Below are 21,919 nucleotides of genomic sequence, written 5' to 3' on the forward strand. Positions count from 1 at the left end.
TGAGAAATGTTGGCTTTAATTGTTCAGATGTTTAGTAGGATTCACCAATGAAGCTACTGGGCAAGGGCTTTTCATCACTGGGAAGTTTTTTATTTACTGATTCAATCTCCATAGTAGTTATAAGTATGTTCAGACTTTGTATTACTATATAATTTAGACTTGGTAGGTTTTATGTTTCTAGGAATGTATCCATTTCTTCTGGGTTTTCCAGTTTATTGGCATGTAATTGTTCATAGGTGTCTCTTATGATCCTTATATTTCTGTGGCATCAACTGTAGCGTCTCTTCTTTCATTTCTGATTCATTTTCATCTTCTCTCCCTTTTCTTAGAATACCAAGAGGTTGACAATTTCACCTTTTAAAAAAACTAACTTTTGACTCTTTCTTTGTTTTGAAAATCATCTATTTCCTTTATTTCTGCTCTAATCTTGTTATTTCTTTCCTTCTGCTAACTTTGAGCTTAATTTTTTCTTCTTTTTCTAGGTCCTTGAGGTGTAAATTTAGGTTGTTTATTTGAGATTTTTCTTTTTTAATGCATTTAACAAAAATAAATATCCCTCTTAGTACTGCTTTTGCTCCATCCATAAGTTTTAGTATGTTTTGTTTTCATTTTCATTTTACTCAAGGTATTGCCTAATTTTAAAAAAATTATTCTTTGAAACAAGGGCTTCTCAAAAGTGTGTTGTTTACTTTCTACATAAAGACCTGGAATGGCGAATCATGCTTATAATCCCAGCAGTTTGGGAGGTAAAAGGAGGAGAACTGCTTGAGCCCAGGAGTTTGAGACTACCCTGGGCAATATAAGTAGGCCCTGTCTCTACAAAAATAAATTTTTTAAAAAACCTAGCTGAGTGTAGTGTCATGCACCTGTGGTCCCAGCTACTCAGGAGGTTGAGGTGGGAATATTGCTTGAGCCCAAGAGGTCAAGGCTGCAGTGAGTCATGTCTGCCACAGAACTCTAGCCTGGGTGACAAAGACTTGGTTTAAAAAAAAAAAAAGGGGGGGGGGCGGGGGGGCTGGGCCTGGTGGCTCACGCCTGTAATCCCAACAGTTTGGGAGGCTGAGGCGGGTGGATCACGAGTTCAGGAGTTCGCGACCAGCCTGACCAATATGGTGAAACGCCGTCTCTACTGAAAATACAAAAATTAGCCAGGCATGGTGGTGCGTGCCTGTAGTCCCAGCTATTCGGGAGGCTGAGGCATAAGAATTGCTTGAACCAGGAGGTGGAGGTTGCAGTAAGCTGAGATCCACCACTGCACTCCAGCTTGGGCGTCAGAACGAGACTCAGTCTCAAAAAAAAAAAAAAAGGAAAAGAGAGAGAGGGAGAAAGAAATAAAAAGAAAGAAGGAAGGAAGGAAGGGAGAGAGAAAAAGAAAGAGAAAGAAAGAAAGAAAAAAAGAAAGAAAGAAAGAAAGAAAGAAAGAAAGAAAGAAAGAAAGAAAGAAAGAAAAGAAAAGAAAAGAAAAGAAAAGAAAGGAAAGAAAGAAAGAAAAAGAAAGAAAGAAATTCTACATATTTGTGAATGTTTTTGATTGGAAGATAAACTTGATATAATTCTATCTTTTTGAATTTGTTAAGACTTGCTTGTGACCTAACATGTGATCTATGCTGGAGAAAGTTCTGTGGCACGTGAGATGAGTGTGTATGCTGCTGCTGTTGGGTCGAAGGAATATCCTTTATGTCCATTAGGTCCATTTGGTCTATACTGTTGTTCAAGCTCAATGTTTGCTTATTGTTCTTCTATCTGCTTGTTTTATCCATTATTGAATGTGGGGTATTGATATCTTCTATTATTTTGTATTGCCGTCTATTTCTCCAATTCTGTCAATATTGATTTATATATTTAGATGCTCTTATGTTGGGTACATATATATTTATAATTGTTATATCTTTCTAGTTAATTCATCCTTTTATCATTATATAATGATCTCTGTTTTTTGCAATACTTTCTCACCTAATGTCTATTTTATCTAATGTAAGTATAGCCACACCTGCTCTCCTTTGGTTAGCATTTGCAAGAAATGTCATTTTCCATATCTTCAATTTTAGCCTACATGTCCTTAAATCTAAAATGAGTTTCTTATAAACAGCCCAATTTTTTAATATAAAACTGCTTAATAATAAAATACATCTTTCTCATTCCTAAAGCCAGCATCATGATTAACTGGAAAACACTAGAAGATTTCTTCGTAACAATAAGAAAAAAAAAAAAGCCCATCCTCACTATTTTTAATCAATATTTTACTAGGCATACTCAGCTGATAAAATACATAAAAGGAAAAGGGCTAAAGTATAAAAATCAGGAAAGAGAAAATAAATTATTTATATCTGACAGAATTGTGAATCTAGAAAACTTAAATTCAATGACTGAATTTACCAAGTTAGTAGAGTGCAAAATTAATCCACAGAAAGCAATAGCTTTGAAAATATATAAGGGCAACCTAGGAGAAGCTACATTTGGAGCAAAAATTAATTTATATTAGCAACAAAAGAGATAAAGTACCTATAAATAAACATAAGAAAAATGCAAGGCATATATGAAAACATTTTAACACTACTGAAGAACTCAAAAGCAATACTGAATAAATGGAAATACATGCCATATTGTTAGAGATACTATATCTCAACATTATGGAGTGTTAATTTTTCTAAAGTTAATTTTTTTAAGTGATGCAAGTAAATTTACAACTAGATTGTTAGAAGTAGACAAGCTAATTCTAAATTTGATATAAAAATGAATAAACAAAATAGCTAGGAAAACATTGAAAAGCACTGGCAATATAGAACTAGCCCAATTACATAAATATATAAGAAAATAATTAAAACTATATATTAAAATGTATTATACAGTCCAAATATAGGCTTATGGTTAGAATAGCTTAGAATAAAGGACTAGAATAAAAAATTCAGAATTAGACAAAAAAAGAAATGGGAATTTAGTATTTGAAAAAGTTGGCAATTAAAATCAGGAAAATTGTTAAGGGAAGATGGATGACGCAATAAATATTTTTGAGACAAGTGAATAGGCAGATGGATCTACACCTCACACCATACACCAAAAAAAAAAAAAAAAAAAAAAAAATTCAAACAGACCAATACTTACAATGTACATAACAAATCCTTAAAAATAGTAAAAGATAATATTGGTCACATTTTGTCAAATTCTGTCATTTTTAATCTTAGGGTGAAAAAGACTTTTCATAAATAGAACAAAAAAATCCATAAACCACAGAGGAAAATTAATAAATACATTCTATTACAAAGAAAAATGACTATACGGCAAAAAAATGCTATAAGCAAAATTAAAAAAAAAAGATGAGAAACAATAAGTATTTGTAGCTCTTACCATAGACAGAGAGTCGCATAGATTAATAGATATATAGTCCCAGGTTTTTGTATAGACAAAAATCCAGTAAAAAATGGGCAAAAAAAATAATTTCCAAATAAAGAAAAAACAAAAGGCTCTGTAAACATATGAAAGGTGTTCAAACTACTTACCTTAAGAAAATTAAAATGCTAAAAATTACACTGTATTTAGAAACCATATTTTACCTCTCAGATTGTTAAAACCCAAATGTTGTCAACACCCTCCGTTGGGAAGACTAAAGAAAAACAGGCACTCATATATTACTGGTGAGGATATAAACTTGCACAACTCCTCTGAAAGGCACTGGAAATATGTAACAACATTACAAAGGCATATATACTTTGACCCAGAAATTACACTTCTGAGAATTTATCCTGCAAGTATTCTTCCACATGTTAAAAGACATATGTAAATGGTTATTCTTTGTGGCATTGTGTCTAGTACACAAGAAATCTAAAACAACCCAAAGGCCAACCAATAGAAAATTGGTTAAATAAATTATGATATATCCATAATAAGGAAAACTTGTTTAAAAAATGATAATAACTAGAAAATTCTCCATGTACTGGAATGGAAAAATTTATCTGAAATGAGGCTAAATGACAAATGCAAGATGCCAAATATTATGTTTACTATGCTAATTTTCATTTTAAAATGAAGGGGGAAAAATTAAAAACACTAATAATGTATTATATTTGCATTTTATAGACCCTGAAAGGATACACAAGAAATTACTGATGTTATTACCGAGGATAGGGAGGGATGGGGGGTAAATCAGGGAAAGAAGGGTCTATAATCTAAAGAAAGTTAACTTTCTAACTTTAATGTATAGAAATTTGGAGCATTTTTTGTGAAAGATAATATGTACAAGTTTTCTTAAAGTGGAGAGATCATACAAAGGAAAGAGAATCACATATTATACTAGACTTTGCAAACACAGTAATATACTGTGGCAATAGTTATAAAGGATAAGTGAGTTTACATATTAATCCAAATTACTTCTCATTTGTGGAGGCAAATACAACATATTTTCAAATATGGAGCAGGTATTTAAAACGCTTGATAATACCTTAGTCAAGTGAAAAATAAATAATAAATACATAAGAAAGTATATATTCAGGAATTGAATAAAATTTACAGTTAAGTTTAAATTTACAGATGCATTTTCAGCAACTATTTAGTCCAGGTAAGTTTATCCACTGGGTTAAATTCCTCTAAGCCAGGAACAAAAGGCTCTTACATTAGGTTGTAAAAAGACACAAAGGCAAAGCCAATCAGATGTAATGTATAAAACAATATATAGCAGGTACAATGAACAACAACAACAAAAATCCAGAATGGCAAAATCAAAATCAGTGTGCAATCTATTAATCAATCAATCACAGCCTATCAGGAATGAATTGCTCAATAGAGCACTGAACATATCAAAAAATGAATTATTAAAAATACAAGGAAAGCTGACTTTATAGTAAATGTATTAAAATTACTAGAAAAAATATAACAATATATTCTTCAAATGACTTGGGTTAAAAAGTAAATAAAAGTTTCTGTCTTGATTAAAGCTTTACTAAGAGATCTACAATGTAAAATAGGGCCTGTGTTATATATCAGGAGTGATTTTTCATCTATTTTTAAAATCTGTCTAAAAGTGACTTTTAACATCTTAACATTCTGTGTATGTTAAAATGGTAACAGGGAGCCTAAGAATCTGAAAGAAATCTACCATTGAAGAAATGGTAAATAAATCTGAAAATTATTCACTTTAATAAATTGTTCCTAAGTCCAATGTTTCCCGGAGTCCTTTGAAATAAATTTATAGGAGTTGAAACATAAAATCTAATTAGCCTCATAACTACCAGTTTTTGAAGTCTTACTATGTTCAAGACTCTAACTTAGATATGTAAAATACATATCAAATATGTATATATATGTATGTATATAAACATAAAATAGGGTCTTAAAATTTTGAATATTGAATGATTTGGTTTCTGTTTTAAGTTAGTATTTACCTCACAAGAATTACATTAATATTGATTTATATTATGTAATAATACCTATTATAAATATGAAAAAAGAGTTTCTGAGAAGGGAGGAACTAGCTCAATGATAGATCATCTAAGAGGTGATCAAGCCAAAATTTGAATTGAAGAAGAGAAACTGAGTTAAATGATGTGGCACATAATTATCTATAATTTCTGTGATTTTGAATTGTAATGTATTAGAACAATAAAACCGATAGTACTTCTCTTTACCTTACAGTGAAATGTAGAACTTGCTTTTTCACAGACTCCAGCTTTTTATTTGGATATTTTGTTTGATCCTTTTTTATTGATGGTTTCTTCAAAGGAAGAAAATGGGCCTCAATGGGGGGAAAGAATAGTTTGGAAAGAGTGTTGGCAATTCTCCACCCAATATATTTGGAGAAAACTTCTTCTCCTACATTTGATGAAATATTTGTACTATATCTAGTGAAAGGATCAGTTGGGTCATTTAACTCAGCCTGTTGAAAGAAAAGAGAAAGGAATCAGTTGAAACAGGATTAAATGGGAGAAAAAAAATCGTGTATTATTAAATTTTTTAAAGTATCTTTATTTTCTTTGACTAATATTGCATTTTTCCTGTTAAGTAAAAATAATCTTTATAAAAAAATTGCAGTTTTCCAAAAGACTTCAAAAAGCAAAACAGCAAATTTCAGTGAAATAAACATTAATGCATCCAGTCTTGAAATTTTGAAAATTTAGTTAGGTAATTTTTATTTTAAATTTGATATACGTGCCGTGTAAGAATTTCATAAGCATTCTGAAATTTTATTTAATAAGAAATTAAGCAATCAGTTGAAGTAATGTACATTTTATTAAATCAGACTTTTTTTTAATGCACAATCTAAACTGTTCTTGATATCAACAGAGCATTTTTTTTTTCTTTTTTGAGAAAGAGTCTTGCTGTGTCTCCCAGACTGGAGTGCAGTGGCACAATCTTGGCTCACTGCAACCTCCATCTCCTGGGTTCAACCGATTCTCCTGCCTCAGCCTCCCAAGTAGCTAGGACTACAGGCATGGACCATCACTCCTGGCTAATTTTTGTTATTTTTAGTAGAGATGGGGTTTCATCATGTTGGACAGGCTGGTCTTGAACTCCTGACCTCAGGTGATCCACCTGCCTCAGCTTCCCAAAGTGCTGGGATTACAGGCGTGAGCCACCATGCCCGGCCAAACAGAACATTTTTATAGAGCAAAAATTTTAAGTGAAAAGCAAATAAGAGCTTTGTATTTAGCTTAAATTGACGATGTTTAAGATTTTGATTTTGATTAAATTGAATATGTTCTAAAATCAAAATGTAAAAAAAATACCAAAATTTCCCATTATTTAAGCAATATTTATTCAGGAAAAGGCTATTTTCTGAAATTTCCTTTTCCTGTTTGATAATGTCCAGGATTGCTTCTTCTTTACTTCTTTTAAAGTGGCCAGAGGCATATTTTCTCTGGCAGGAATCAGCAATAATAAATGAAAATGTAAGTAAAAGGGCATATGTTACAACTTTTTTATGTTCATGATATGTACATACTATTAATTCCTTTTCTTGTAAATAAGTCGGATACTGCCTTTTATCATTTGTTTTTACATTTTCATTGAGTATTATCTGTCTTCAGGCAGCTCATTACTAGTGACTCAGGATTCATTTTAGATTCATATCAATCTTGCGATAGGAAAGACAGAAATAGAAAATGTTTTTCTGTACATGAACATCTAACTTAACCTCTTTCAGGTTCCAAAATTAGGCCTGGCTAAATTACTGACGAAAGACTGATTATTGAATTATTTAGACAAAAGTATAGTAGAGAAAATGAGTACAGTCTCAGGATATAGACTGAACGAAAAACAGTTAAAGTAATGAGAAAAATAGCAAAAGGCAGGTATGCAAATATGTGTCACTGTGAAAGTCATAGAGGATGGGAAAGAATAACATGGAAAAAAACATTTACAAAGGATAAGGTGAAAATCATGCAAGTAAGCAAGCATGTGATTCAGTAATCCCACTACTGGGTATATCCAAAAGAAAATCAGTACGTCAAAGAGAGAGCTGCCCTGCCATGTTTATTGCAACATTACTCTCAATAGCCAAGCTATGAAATCAAGCTAAGTGTCCATCAACAGATGAATGGATAAATAAAATGTGGTATATATACACAATGGGATAGTATTGAGCCATAAAAATAGAAGAAAATTCTACCATTTGTAACAACATGGATGAACCTGGGGGACATCATGTTAAGTGAAATAAACCAGGCACAGAAAGACAAATACCACATGATCTCACTTACATGTAAAATCTAAAATGTTGATCTCATATAAGTAGAGTAGGATGGTGTTTACCAGGGGCTGACGGGTGAAGGGCTGGGGAGATGTTGGTCAAAAGATTTCAGTTAGAAGAAATAAATTCAAGAGCTCTAATGTACAACATGGTGACTGTAGTTAATACAAATACATCATATCTTGAAAAATGCTGAGAGTAGATGTTAAATGTTCTCAAAAAAGAAATAATAACTATATGAGGTTATTTGTTAATTAGCTCAATTTGACCATTTCACAATGTATGTATTGTCAGGCCTCTGAGCCTAAGCTAAGCCATCATATCCCCTGTGACCTGCCCGTACACATCCAGATGGCCGGTTCCAGCCTTAACTGATGACATTCCACCACAAAAGTGAAAATGACCTGTTCCTGCCTTAACTGATGACATTATCTTGTGAAATTCCTTCTCCTGGCTCATCCTGGCTCAAAAGCTCCCCTACTGAGCACCCTGTGACCCCCACTTCTGCCCGCCAGAGAACAACCCCCCTTTTTCCTTTACCTACCCAAATCCTATAAAATGGCCCCACCCCATCTCCCTTCACTGACTCTCTTTTTAGACTCAGCCCGCCTGCACCCAGGTGATTAAAAGCTTTATTGCTCACACAAAGCCTGTTTAGTAGTCTCTTCACACGGACACACATGAAATTTGGTGCTGTGACTCGGATTGGGGGACCTCCCTTGGGAGATCAATCCCCTGTCCTCCTGCTCTTTGCTCTGTGAGAAAGATCCACCTATCAGGTCCTCATACCGACCAGCCCAAGAAACATCTCACTAATTTCAAATCCGGTAAGTGGCCTCTTTTTACTCTCTTCTCCAACCTCTCTCACTATCCCTCAATCTCTTTCGCCTTTCAATCTTGGCGCCACACTTCAATCTCTCCCTTCTCTTAATTTCAATTACTTTCATTTTCTGGCAGAGACAAAGGAGACATGTTTTATTCGTCTCCTTTTAGCCCTCCCCCACCTGCCCAGCAATTTACTCTTAAAAAGGTGGCTGGAGCCAAAGGCATAGTCAAGGTTAATGCTCCTTTTTCTTTATCCCAAATCAGATAGCGTTTAGGCTCTTTATCATCAAATATAAAAACCCAGCCCAGTTCATGGCTCGTTTGGCAGCAACCCTGAGATGCTTTACAGCCCTAGACCCTAAGAAGTCAAAAGGCCGTCTTATTCTCAATATACATTTTATTACCCAATCTGCTCCCAACATTAAATAAAACTCCAAAAATTAAATTCTGACCCTCAAACTCCACAACAGGACTTAATTAACCTTGCCTTCAAAGTGTACAATCACAGAAAAAAGTTGCAATTCCTTGCCTCCACTGTGAGACAAACCCCAGCCATATCTCCAGCACACAAGAACTTCCAAACGCCTGAACTGCAGCGGCCAGGCATTCCTCCAGAACCTCCTCCCCCAGGAGCTTGCTACAAGTGCCAAAAATCTGGCCACCAAGCCAAAGAATAGCCGCAGCCCAGGATTCCTCCTAAGCCGTATCCCATTTGTGCAGGATCCCACTAGAAATCGGACTGTTCAACTCACCTGGCAGCCACTCCCAGAGCCCCTGGAACTCTGGCCCAAGGCTCTCTGACTGACTCCTTCCCAGATCTTCTCGGCTTAGCGGCTGAAGACTGACGCTGCCCGATCGCCTCAGAAGCCCCCTAGACCATCACGGATGCCGAGCTTCAGGTAACTCTCACAGTGGAAGGTAAGTCCGTCCCCTTCTTAATCAATACGGAGGCTACCCACTCCACATTACCTTCTTTTCAAAGGCCTGTTTCCCTTGCCTCCATAACTGTTGTGGGTACTGATGGCCAGGCTTCCAAACCTCTTAAAACTCCCCAACTCTGGTGCCAACTTACACAATACTCTTTTAAGCACTCCTTTTTAGTATCCCCACCTGCCCAGTTCCCTTATTAGGCTGAGACACTTTTAACTAAATTATCTGCTTCCCTGACTATTCCTGGACTACAGCTATATCTCATTGCTACCCTTCCCAATCCAAAGCCTCCTTTGCATCCTCCTCTTGTATCCCCCCACCTTAACACACAAGTATAAGATAACTCTACCCCGTCCTTGGCGACCGATCATGCACTCCTTACCATCTCATTAAAACCTAATCACCCTTACCCCGCTCAATGCCAATATCCCATCCCACAGCATGCTTTGAAAGGATTAAAGCCTGTTATCACTCGCTTGCTACAGCATGGCCTTTTAAAGCCTATAAACTCTCCTTACAATTCCCCCATTTTACCTGTCCTAAAACCAGACAAGGTTTACAAGTTAGTTCAGGATCTGCGCCTTATCAACCAAACTGTTTTGCCTATCCACCCTGTGGTGCCCAACCCGTACACTCTATTGTCCTCAATACCTTCCTCCACAACCCACTATTCCGTTCTTAATCTTAAAGATGCTTTTTTCACTATTCCCCTGCACCCCTCGTCCCAGCCTCTCTTTGCTTTCACCTGGACTGACCCTGACATCCATCAGTCCCAGCAGATTACCTAGGCTGTACTGCCGCAAGGCTTCACAGACAGCCCCCATTACTTCAGTCAAGCCCAAATTTCATCCTCATCTGTTACCTATCTCGGCATAATTCTCATAAAAGCACACATGCTCTCCCTGCTGATCGTGTCCGATTAATCTCCCAAACCTCAATCCCTTACAAAACAACAACTCCTTTCCTTCCTAGACATAGTTACTGCAGTCAGAATTCCTACACAAGAGCCAGGACCGCACCCTGTAGCCTGTCCAAACAACTTGGACTTACTGTTTTAGCCTAGCCCTCATGTCTGTGTGCAGCAGCTGCCGCTGCTTTAATACTTTTAGAGGCCCTAAAAATCACAAACTATGCTCAACTCACTCTACATTTCTCATAACTTCCAAAATCTGTTTTCTTCCTCACACCTGATGCATATACTTTCTGCTCCCCGGCTCCTTCAGCTGTACTCACTCTTTGTTAAGTCTCCCACAATTACCATTGTTCCTGGCCCGGACTTCAATCTGGCCTCCCACATTATTCCTGATACCACACCTGAACCTCATGACTGCATCTCTCTGATCTCCTGACGTTCACCCCATTTCCCCACATTTCCTTCTTCCCTGTTCCTCACCCTGATCACACTTAGTTTATTAATGGCAGTTCCACCAGGCCTAATCGCCACACACCAGCAAAGGCAGGCTATGCTATAGTACAAGCCACTAGCCCGCCTCTTAGAACCTCTCAGTTCCTTTCCATCGTAGAAATCTATCCTCAAAGATATAACTTCTCAGTGTTCCATCTGCTATTCTACTACTTCTCAAGGATTATTGAGGCCCTCTCCCTTCCCTACACATCAAGCTCCAGGATTTGCCCCCGCCCAGGACTGGCAAATTAGCTTTACTCAACATGCCCCAAGTCAGGAAACTAAAATACCTCTTAGTCTAAGTAGACACTTTCACTAGATAAGTAGAGGCCTTTCCCACAAAGGCTAAGAAGGCCACCACAGTCATTTCTTCCCTTCTGTCAGACATAATTCCTCAGTTTGGCCTTCTCACCTCTATACAGTCTGATAGCAGACCAGCCTTTATTAGTCAAATCAGCCAAGCATTTTTTCAGGCTTAGTATTCAGTGAAACCTTTATATCCCTTACAGTCCTCAGTCTTCAAGAAAAGTAGAACAGACTAATAGTCTTTCAAAAACACACCTCACCAAGCTCAGCTACCAACTTAAAAAAGACTAGACAATACTTTTATCACTTTCCCTTCTCAGAATTCAGGCCTGTCCTCAGAATGCTACAAAGTACAGCCCATTTAAGCTCCTGTATAGACTCTCCTTTTTATTAGGCCCCAGTCTCATTCCAGACACCAGACCAACTTAGACTGTGCCCCAAAAAAACTTGTCATCCCTACTATCTTCTGTCTAGTCATACTCCTATTCACCGTTCTCAACTACTCATACATGCCCTGCTCTTGTTTACACTGCTGGTTTACACTGTTTCTCCAAGCCATCACAGCTGATATCTCCTGGTGCTATCCCCAAACTATCACTCTTAACTCTTAAAGTAAATAAATAATCTTTGCTGGCAAGACTATGCTGAATCTCCTTAGGCACTCTCTAATCAGATGTCCTAGGTCATCCCAATTCTTAGACCTTTTATACCTGTTTTTCTCCTTATTCCGTTTTTCAATTCATACAAAACCATATCCAGGCCATCACCAATAATTCTAAATGACAAATATTTCTTCTAACAACCCCACAATATCACCCCTTACCACAAAATCTTCCTTCAGCTTAATCTCTCCCACTATAAGTTCCCACACCGCCCCTAATCCCGCTCAAAGCAGCCCTGAGAAACATCACCCATTATCTCTCCATACCACCCCCCAAAAATTTTTACTGTCCCAACACTTTACCACTATTTCGTTTTTTCTTATTAATATAAGAAGATAGGAATGTCAGGCCTCTGAGCCCAAGCTAAGCCATCATATCCCCTGTGACCTGCCTGTACACATCCAGATGACCGGTTCCTGCCTTAACTGATGACATTCCACCACAAAAGAAGTGAAAATGGCCTGTTCCTGCCTTAACTGATGACATTATCTTGTGAAATTCCTTCTCCTGGCTCATACTGACTCGAAAGCTCCCCTACTGAGCACCTTGTGACCCTCACTCCTGCCTGCCAGAGAACAACCCCCCTTTTTCCTTTACCTACCCAAATCCTATAAAACGGCCCCACACCTATCTCTCTTCGCTGACTCTTTAGACTCAGCCCGCCTGCACCCAGGTGATTAAAAGCTTTATTGCTCACACAAAGCCTGTTTAGTAGTCTCTTCACATGGACGCGCATGAAGTGTATATTTTAAAACATCATGTTTTACACAGTAAATGTATACAATTTTATTCTTCATTGTAGAAAAATAAAATGTTAAAAATTAATGACACCACCAAAAAAGAGCTCCTCCTTTTTTTACTCAAAATATAGTACAGTATTGCACAAATGAAGATATTATGGTGAACTCTGGAATTACTAAGGGAGTTATGAACGAATAAATGAATGAGTAAACAAATGGACCAAAAAAATGATGTCTTCTCATGATATAATTTTTGGTAAAACACACTGTAATCAAAGATAGCATTAATCTGTGAGGCAGGAGAATAGGGTCTGGAGAAAGGGAACCTAAAGCCGATTCTCACTGGCTTCCTAGAACTAAATCAAAATCAAAACGCCAACTTTCCACACCCAAATTATAAAAGGACCAGAAGCTACTCTCCTTGCAACCCCCACTTTCCTGTGTGGCAGATGAAAAACTGAAAGTACCTGTGGTTGATCCTTTCCTGCAACCGATCAGACTGATCGTGGGTTAAGTCTTTACTTGCATAGGATTTGGGATTTATTATTCTCCTTTCCCCTTTTGCTATCTGCTCCATACAGGGGAGTCTTTTGTTCTCTCTTTTTCTGTCTTTTCCTTTCCAACGTGGGACCCTTGGTAGGCAGTGCCTAAACACAGAGGCAACTGCAGGTTTCCGGCTGGGGCCAATCTCTGGAGAAATGGAAAGGTTTCCATGTGGAAGCCCTTGACTGCCACCACCCAGTTCTAGTAAGGGAACTGAGCCCTTTGCCTTTTTTTTCTTTTTCAGTATTTCAGCAGCTGTTTCCTAGCAGCTCCTTGGTATTTGAGGGCAACTGGCCAGGGCCACTCTCTGGTGTTGCCTGAAGGCCAAGGAGTGAATGAGGATAGCTGCCTTGCCTGGAAGGAGGATGGACTCTTTTCTATCTTTTCTGATTATAGTCCCTGATCTCTACGTGTGACACAATTGGCAGTGGTACAGGGTGAACTCACGTTTCAGGCCACTTAAACCTTCTTTTCTTATAGTCACTGATTCCTACATGTGACACAATTGGCAGCAACAGCTCCTCCAGAGTGAACTCACACACATTTCAGGTGACTTGAGCCTTCTTTTTTCATGCTAAATTCTTCTCTTCCCCTACTTGATGGGTCAAAGACAAAAGGAACCCACCTAGCTATGCAAAGAATGTTATAAAGAAAATAGATGACTGGTTGTTTAAAAAGAGGGATGGGATGTTTAGGACAAGTCAGAGGGTCTGGGAATGTTGTAGATGGTCTGTGTGGGGCATGGGGGGCATTCATGAAAAGGAATTTATGCAGGAACTGATGTACAATCTAATGTGGATTTCTTGCCTAAATTTAGAGAGTAAAAGGGTTGCTTTAAGTGGGATAGGAAGCCCTTAAGAAACACTCATAATGGGTCATCAGTGGTGGAGGGAACCATTCCAAAGCAGTGCCAGCACCCATCTAACTAACGTCAGAGATGTCTGACAGACTAAGACAGGGCTCAAAAGGTGAATGCCCCTGGGGACTCCAGTCAGGACCTAGAATTTTTCCAGGATGCCTCAAGCATCACTCGGGTCACTTGATAAACCTTCCACTATTCAAAGTCCTCCTCTCTTTTCCAGACCACTATGGGCAACTCTTCATCTATTCCACCTGATTCCACTATGGACAACCCTCCATCTATTCCACCTGATTCCCTGCTTGGCTGCATCCTCCACCACTGGAATCAATTTGACCCTGATAATCTAAAGAGAAAACTTATATATATATATATTTTTTTTTTTCTGCAATGCTGTTTGGCCCAATTATGAGCTGCCCAGCCTGGAACAATGAGCAGTCAATGGTAGCCTTAATTATGACACCATCCTGCAATCAGATCTATTTTGCAAGATGCACGGCAAATGGTCCAAAATCCCATATGTACAGACCTTCATGGCCCTATACCAAAACCTAACAATCTGCAAAACTCCCAGAACCAGCCCCCCAAGGGAAAGTCCTAAGGCAGAACTAGATATTACAGATGACCTCCTTTTACAAGGGCTACCTGTCTCTCAGGGTGAACAGCATCTGCCTCCATACAGCCCCTTGCCAAGTGCTCTTGAGGCTAAACCCCAAACAGTGGGAACCCTACTAAGTCCCCCTCACACTCAAAGGAGAACATCGTATTAACTCTCCCTGCAGCCCTGTTACTCCTTGGGAAGTAGCAAGAGCTGAGGGGCCAGTCCTAGTGCAGGTCCCTTCTCTATAACTGATATACAACAATGTAAGGAAAAGCTAGAAAGCTATTTCAAGAATCCCAGGAAATTTGCGGAAGCTTTCCAAACTTTGGCCTTAGCCGTTGCTCTCTCATGGAGAGATGTTCAATTCATTCTAGCAACCTGTTGCACCCCCTTGGAAAAAAAGATGAAATCTTTGAGGCCGCCCATGGGGAAGCAGATGATTTATTCATCTGAATCCTTTAGGGCAATCACTTGGGCCCAAACACAGTCTCCACTATTGATCCTAATTGGGACTATAATACCCCCATGGGAATGAACAACCGGGCTAAATTTCTTGAGGCTTTCCTTGGAGGAATGAGAAAGGGAATAACTAAGGCAGTAAATAATGTAAATTAAGGGGGGTTACACAAGCCAAGGAGGACAATCCAGCCATGGACTTATGGCAGGCTGGAGGAAGTCTTTACAAAATATACTACTCTGGACTCTTCTTTTTCCAAAGGCAAAATATTAATGGCACAGCATTTCATTAGCCAATCCACCACGGACATTAGACTTAAGCTCCAAAAGCTACTGATGGGGCCACGCAGTAATCAAAATCAGGTTTTTGATACTGCTGTTATGGTGTATAACAATTGTGACCTGGAGGAAGGAAAACAGGAACAGAGTGAAGAAAAATGGCAGGCAAAAATTATGGCAGCCATCATTGGCAATACCCTGAATGCCCAAAGAGCAGCTAAGGGAAACCTGAAGGGCCATAATGATAATGCCATCAAAGGCTCTTGCTTCAAATGCAAGAACAATGAGCATTGGGCAAAGGACTGTACTAAGCCCTCACCAGGCCCCTGTCAAAAATGTGAGGGCACCAGTTACAAACCCTGTCACTGGAGGATTGACTGCCCCTGCTCCCACCAAGGGGTTCAGTCAGGCAAAACTCTAGCAGTGCAAAAGCAGGAATTAGATGAAGACTGAAGACCGAAGGGGCCTGGGGTCTTCCTCACTGCCCCTGTCCAGGAACATTGTAATTACTACTGAGGAGCCCCAGGTAATTCTGGATGTCATGGGTACCCAAATTCAGTTGTTTTTTTTTTTGATACAGAAGCAAATTACTCTGTTTTCACTGCTTTTGCAGAAAGCTTTCCTCCCAGTTCATGACCATTACAGGAATGGAAGGAAAGCCGCAAACAAGATTCTTTACTCCTCCTTTGATTTGTCAATTTGAGAAACAAATCTTACAACAGGAATTTCTAGTAGTACCAAACTCTCCAATCCCCCTGTTGGGAAGAGATATTATGGTTAAAATAGGGGCACTGCTACAATGTAAGCATCACCTGGCAGAATTGCTAACAGGCAAAATACAGCCAAAGTCCCAGATTACATTAGTAAACAGGCTAACCCACTGGCATGGTATACTGGAAATCTAGGGAAGCCTAAAATAGCAGTGCCAGTCAAAATACGCTTAAAGACCCCAGCTATTTTCCCAATCAAAAACAATACCTAATTAAGCTGGAAGCAAGAAAAGGCCTAGCACCCAGAGGTGAGGTATTACTTACCCATCGACTCTTAAAACCCTGCAATTCTCCTTGCAAGGACCCCATCTTACCCATTCTAAAGCCTTTGGAAGAATATTGAAGGCTTATTACATGTTAGTACAGGACCTCAGAATAATTAATGAGGCTATTATCCCTGTACACACATTGGTGGCAAATCCATATACCCTCCTGGCTCAGGTGCCAAAAGGTTCTCAGTTCTAGACCTAAAAGATGCTTTCTTCTCCATTCCCTCTGGCACCAGAGTCCTAATACCTTTTCACCTTTGAATGGAAAAATCCTAATACCGGAGGAAAACAACAATACACTTGGACAGTGCTCCCTCAAGGTTTTTGGGACAGGCCCCCTTTCTATGCTTGGGCCTTAGAGAGGGATCTAAGGGATCTGCAATTGGAGAATGGGAGTATATTCCAGTACATGGATGACCTTCTTGTGCGTAGCCCAACCAAGGAAGCTTCTGAACAAAATACTACAAAAACTTTTAATTTCCTGGCAGACAGGGGATACAAAGTGTCCAAAAGGAAGGCTTAGAATAACCTTCAACAGGTCCAATATTTAAGGTATGTCTTAACACCCAGAGCCTGGCAAATATCCCCAGAACGAGTGCAAGCCATATGTGGTTTGGGACCTCCCCATACCAAGCAACAGCTTTGTTCTTTTGGGGGAATAGCCAGGTTTTGCAGAATATGGGCACCAAATTTTGGGATCATAGTAAAGCCCCTGTATGAAGCAACAAGGGGGCCTGAAAATGAGCTAATGGAATGGACCTCGGAAATGAGAGAAACCTTTGCCAAGTTAAAAATAGGCTCTCACCCAGCTTCCGCTCTTGGCATCCAAGGCCTAACTAAGCCCTTCTCCTTGTATGTAGCAGAGAGGAAAGGCATAGCTGTAGTAGTACTAGCCCAGAAATTAGGATCAGAACACAGATCAACTGCCTACTTTTCAAAAAAGCTGGATGGAGTGGCCTCGGGATGGCCAAGTTTCCCGTGGGCAATCCCAGCCACTGGTATTTTAGTGGAAGGAGCCACTGAAGTCACCCTAGGTCAACTACCAGAAGTTCTAACCCCTCATCAGGTGAAGTCAGTCTTAGAAATAAAAGGATACCTCTAGATGATGGAGGGAAGTTTAACCTAATACCATGCCACACTCTTAGAAAACCCAGATGTAACCCTTGAAACCTGTAGCACCTTGAATCCAGCTCTGTTTCTGCCCACAGGCCCAGTAACTGATCATTCCTGCGAGCAGGTCATTGCACATACATTCATATGTTAGCCAGCCTAATTTAAAAGACCAACTTCTCCCAGATTCTGAGGATAACTGGTTTACAGACGGCAGTAGTTTCATGTCAAATAGGGAGCACTGGAGCTGGATACACAACAGTAAATCGTAGTACAATTGAAGCCCAGACACTGCCCCCTGGCACATTAGCACAAAAGGCTGAATTCATTACTCTTACCTGAGCATTAATGTTGGGACAAGGTAAAAAGCTTAACATCTATACAGATTCTAAATATACATTCCCTGTGGTTCATGCTCATGCTACAATCTGGAAGAAAAGGGGACTACTAACTAGCAAACACTCTCCTATAAAGCATGGGCCTGAAATTCTTCAGCTATTAAAAGCAGTACACCTGCCAAAGGCCATAGCTATAATTCATTGTAGGGGACTTAACGCCTATAGCACAAGGGAACAGCAAGTCTGACAGAGAAGCCAAAGGCACAACCTTCAGGGTGCAATCCCAACAGGAACAGCTAATACAGGAGCAAGGGGAACAAAAACAAGGATCCTGGTGGTACATGGGATCACAAGTATATCTCCCTCAAACAGCCCAATGGAGAATTATAAAAACCCTGCCTGACTCTTTCCATATAGGGAGAGATGCTACCTTGGCCATGGTTAACAGGCTCTTCACTGGGCCTAACTTAGCTTCGGTGGTTAAGCAGGTCTGTCAAGCCTGCTCATTGTGTGCACTTAACAACTTAGGAAACAAAATGCCTCCTCTAATAGAACCAGTCCAGAGGAGAGGAGCTTATCCAGGGGAATATTGGAAATTAGACTTCACCCATATGCCAGCTTTCAGAGGATATGTTTTTGTTAGTGCTAATAGATAACTTTACTGGTTGGGTCAAAGTTTACTCTAACAGAACAGAGAAGGTAATGAGGTTATAAAGGTCCTCTTAAGAGAAATAACCCCCAGTTTGGATTAACTCAGAGACTCCAAAGTGATAAAGGCATGTCCTTTATCTCCCAAATGACTCATGGGGTTGCTAAGGCTCTCAGAATCAAATACTATTTACATTCAGCATGGAGGCTTCAATCCTCTGGAAAAGTAGAAAGGACTATCCAAACTCTAAAGTGAGTGTTAGCTAAGCATTGTCAGGAAACATAAAAAACGTGGTTCAGCTTACTGTCTGTAGCCCTCTTAAGGATCCATAATACCCCTAGAGCAAAAATTAATATAAGCCTATAAGAAATGTTATCTGAAGCCCTTTCTAAATTAATGATTCAATTACTGATCCAGAAACAGCCAGTTTAGTAAAATACCTAGTTAACCTAGGAAAATTTCAGCAGGTTTTACAAAAGTTTGAAACTCAAAGGCTCTCCACACCAGGAACTAACCAGCAACCCTAAATCAGGCCAAGAGATGAAAACATGGAAAAAGAGATCACCTGCTCAACAATTACAACCCAAATGGAAGGCACCATTTTCAGTAATATTGGCCATGCCTTCTGCAAAGTACTAAGGTTAGATGGTTGGATACACCTTTCAAGGATCATGTCTGCGATACCTGAAGCCCCGGACCTGGAACCTGAAGCTCCCATCAGCCACTACACCTGTGAACTTGTGAAAGACCCGAAGTTCCTGTTTAGAAGACAGCCAAAAGATAAGTAAATGCCCACCAACTTTCCTTGGTGTCTTTGTTGCATAGTTACTGTAGGCTGGATAATAGTAGCCATTTTTTTTGTATTTTTTATAGTTCATTGCCTTTTCCAGATGGATGGAACCACTTCCTTTGTACTAACTAAGCAGAATGTTTTAATTCAGTTATATAACAAACATTCCTTACAGCATAAGTATCCAGCCCATGAAGTTCCCATTAAATCTTTTAACCAAATTTATTTCCTCTCACCTAGAGACCATCAAGCTTCAGATTATCATGTGACAGGGCTTCCAGCCAGTTTCAGGTGCACAGACACCATCTTAGCCATCAAGAAGCTACCCTGTCTTCATTAGACAGAGCAGAATGAGAATTCCATGATCCCCAATAGGTATGGACTAAGCCCCAAGTCAGCATGAAGCAGTTACAGAAGAAAGACCATCGGTCCTTCTGCTCCCCATAAAGATTTATGGGGATTGTGTCTCTCAGGGGGGAAATGAGGCAAGAGAATAAGGTCTGGAGGCAGGGAACCTAAGGCCAATTCACAACGACTTCCTGGAACTAAATCAAAAGGAAAACCCCAACTTCTCATGCCCAAGGAACATGAGGACCAGTGGCTACTTACTCCCTTTGCAACCCCCCTCGCTTTCTGCATGGCAGATGAAAAATTGAAAGTACCTCTGATTTGTCCCCTCCCACAACCAATCAGACTGATCGTGGGCCACTACTTCATTTACATAGGGTGTACACCAAGTAACCCATGGAAAACCTTTAGAGGGTATTTAAACCCTAGAAAATTCTGTAACCAGGGCTCTTGAGCCACTTGCTCAAGCCTGCTCCCACCCTGGGAAGTGTACTTTCATTTTCAATAAATTTCTGCTTTTGTCATTTCATTCCTTCCTTGTTTTGTTTGTGCATTTTGTCCAATTCTTTGTTCAAAACACCAAGAACCTGGACAACTTGTAGTCAAGACCCTCCACCGATAACATCTGTATTACAGAATCCTGATGCTCATTTCATCATGTCTCATTTGACTACTCCTCACTTACTTCCCTCTAAGACAGGAGAGGCTATAGATACAGATGCCACCTCTTTCTCGGCAAAATGAAGATATTCCCACATCTTTCTCTATGATTCTCTTGTGGGGAGCCCAGGTAAATTTCTATCCTTCATTGATGTCCGTGCCCTTTGTCTAATAGAAATGTAGTCTCAAATTTCAGTCAAATGTATACTTTCCTTATTTACGAAAGGCTTTGTCTGTGTTTTCTTGCAAGAAGTTGCCAGGAAGGAATATGGGCTGTGCACTATGAAAGATCTGAAATCAAGTGTGTCTCTACCACTTGCCAGTCATCAATGTAAACTTGAAAAATTTTAGTTAACTTCTCCAGGACTGTTTTGTGTTTAGTTTTGTTCTGTCTTGTTTTTCATCTATGTTATTGGGATAATAAATACCTTTTAGTTTTATGGAGGTTAACGCAGATCATAAAGGATGATCTGCCTTCTAGACAGTGAGAAGGTCAACAGATATTAGTGCCTTTCAGGTCTTCCCTAGGACAGAGCACTAGAGCTCTGGCCTTCGCAGCAACTCCCACCATCAACCCAGGAAGACTCTACCTAACCTCTGCCATGCCAAAACAGTTTGGTTATAACATAACTTTTACATTAGCAAATGTATCAAATAAGATCATGATTATACTTCTAGAGTCGTCTTCTATAGTTATCTTCCTTCTTCTCTTAAAGCCATTATTCTAATATATTTCAATATTAAGAGACTTGAATGCCATCTATGCATAAATTTGTCTATACTTCTTGAGAGCAGACTTAAACAAAATACTAATGAACATCTTTTACAACAGATTCCAAATTTATAAATTTACTACTATTTAGCCTGGCAATGAACATTATCTCAAACACCAACTTTAACCATTTATTTACATTTTAATTATGTGTTCTTAATTTTTAGTGATGCCTATGAAGATTATAAAAATTCAGGGTTTCCTTTTATTAGTACATTATTAGAACATGACTTCTTTATTAAGAAACAAATGGGAATTTTAAAAATATCTATGTTAACTTTATTGATTTACTATTAAAATTGGAAAAGTAGTATTCTTGAAGACTATTTCCTTCACATACATATTTTAACCAAAGGCAGGAACAGAAGCTTACCCTTTGCCTTTGTGTTGGGCATAAAGATGGCAAAGGCTGCATTAATGCAGGAAGAAAATGCATAAATCAGCCCAAAGGAATTAGGATGTAGTAGCAATACACACATATCAAAAAAAAAAAAAAAAAAGCCTTTACAAAGTTCTGAATTTACCACCAATAATTAGAGAAATGTAGCAAACACAACAAAATTTGAGCTAACTCACATTATTTTTGACATAAGAGAAAAAAGGAAAAAATAATTTCAAACCATTGCAGCAGTTTGCTACAAATTCTCTTCCCTTCTCTCACAGTCTCTCTCCTTTTTAACATGTCTTTACCTTTCCTTAAGTAATCTTGCTGAGATATTTAACTTGTTTTTGAAAATATTTTTTTTCTTAAATGTTTTTCAAAATTTAAGTGACTCAAAGTAGTGTCATAAGATTATTTTCTATAGGAGTTGTGAAAGCTCACAAAGGAGAACAGCATGAGTAATTCCTTGCTACTAAAATTATAGTCACTGGACCATTTTATTGCCAGTACCTGGGAGCATGTTATCAATGTAGTATCTCAGGCCCTA

General features: G+C 38.8%; 1 protein-coding gene across 22 annotated transcripts in view, besides 1 other annotated feature; it reads right to left on the bottom strand.

Moving 5' to 3' along the window:
• The window catches only part of TMEM232 (transmembrane protein 232), a 351,524-nt gene that overhangs the window by 135,539 nt on the left and 194,066 nt on the right, over positions 1-21,919 (bottom strand). For 15 of the 22 annotated variants that reach the window (XR_001742181.2, XR_007058620.1, XM_047417493.1 and 12 more), the window contains one exon: positions 5,619-5,866. The exons of the other annotated variants lie outside the window; for them this stretch is intronic. Coding sequence is in view for 13 of the 15 variants with exons in the window: in XM_047417493.1 (XP_047273449.1) it covers positions 5,619-5,866 (248 nt within the window). In the remaining 2 variants the exon portion in view is untranslated. The remainder of the gene's footprint in view (positions 1-5,618; positions 5,867-21,919) is intronic. 22 annotated transcript variants of the gene reach the window in all.
• Positions 13,464-14,312: an enhancer, noted in NCBI's record as "OCT4-NANOG-H3K27ac-H3K4me1 hESC enhancer chr5:109872134-109872982 (GRCh37/hg19 assembly coordinates)". NCBI's record gives its function as "activates a minimal SCP1, AML or CMV promoter by ChIP-STARR-seq in primed H9 embryonic stem cells {active_cell/tissue: H9 hESC(primed)}" and the evidence as "EXISTENCE:reporter gene assay evidence [ECO:0000049][PMID:30033119]".

The sequence above is a fragment of the Homo sapiens genome, chromosome 5, assembly GCF_000001405.40.
Source record: "Homo sapiens chromosome 5, GRCh38.p14 Primary Assembly".
Classification (NCBI taxonomy): domain Eukaryota; kingdom Metazoa; phylum Chordata; class Mammalia; order Primates; family Hominidae; genus Homo; species Homo sapiens.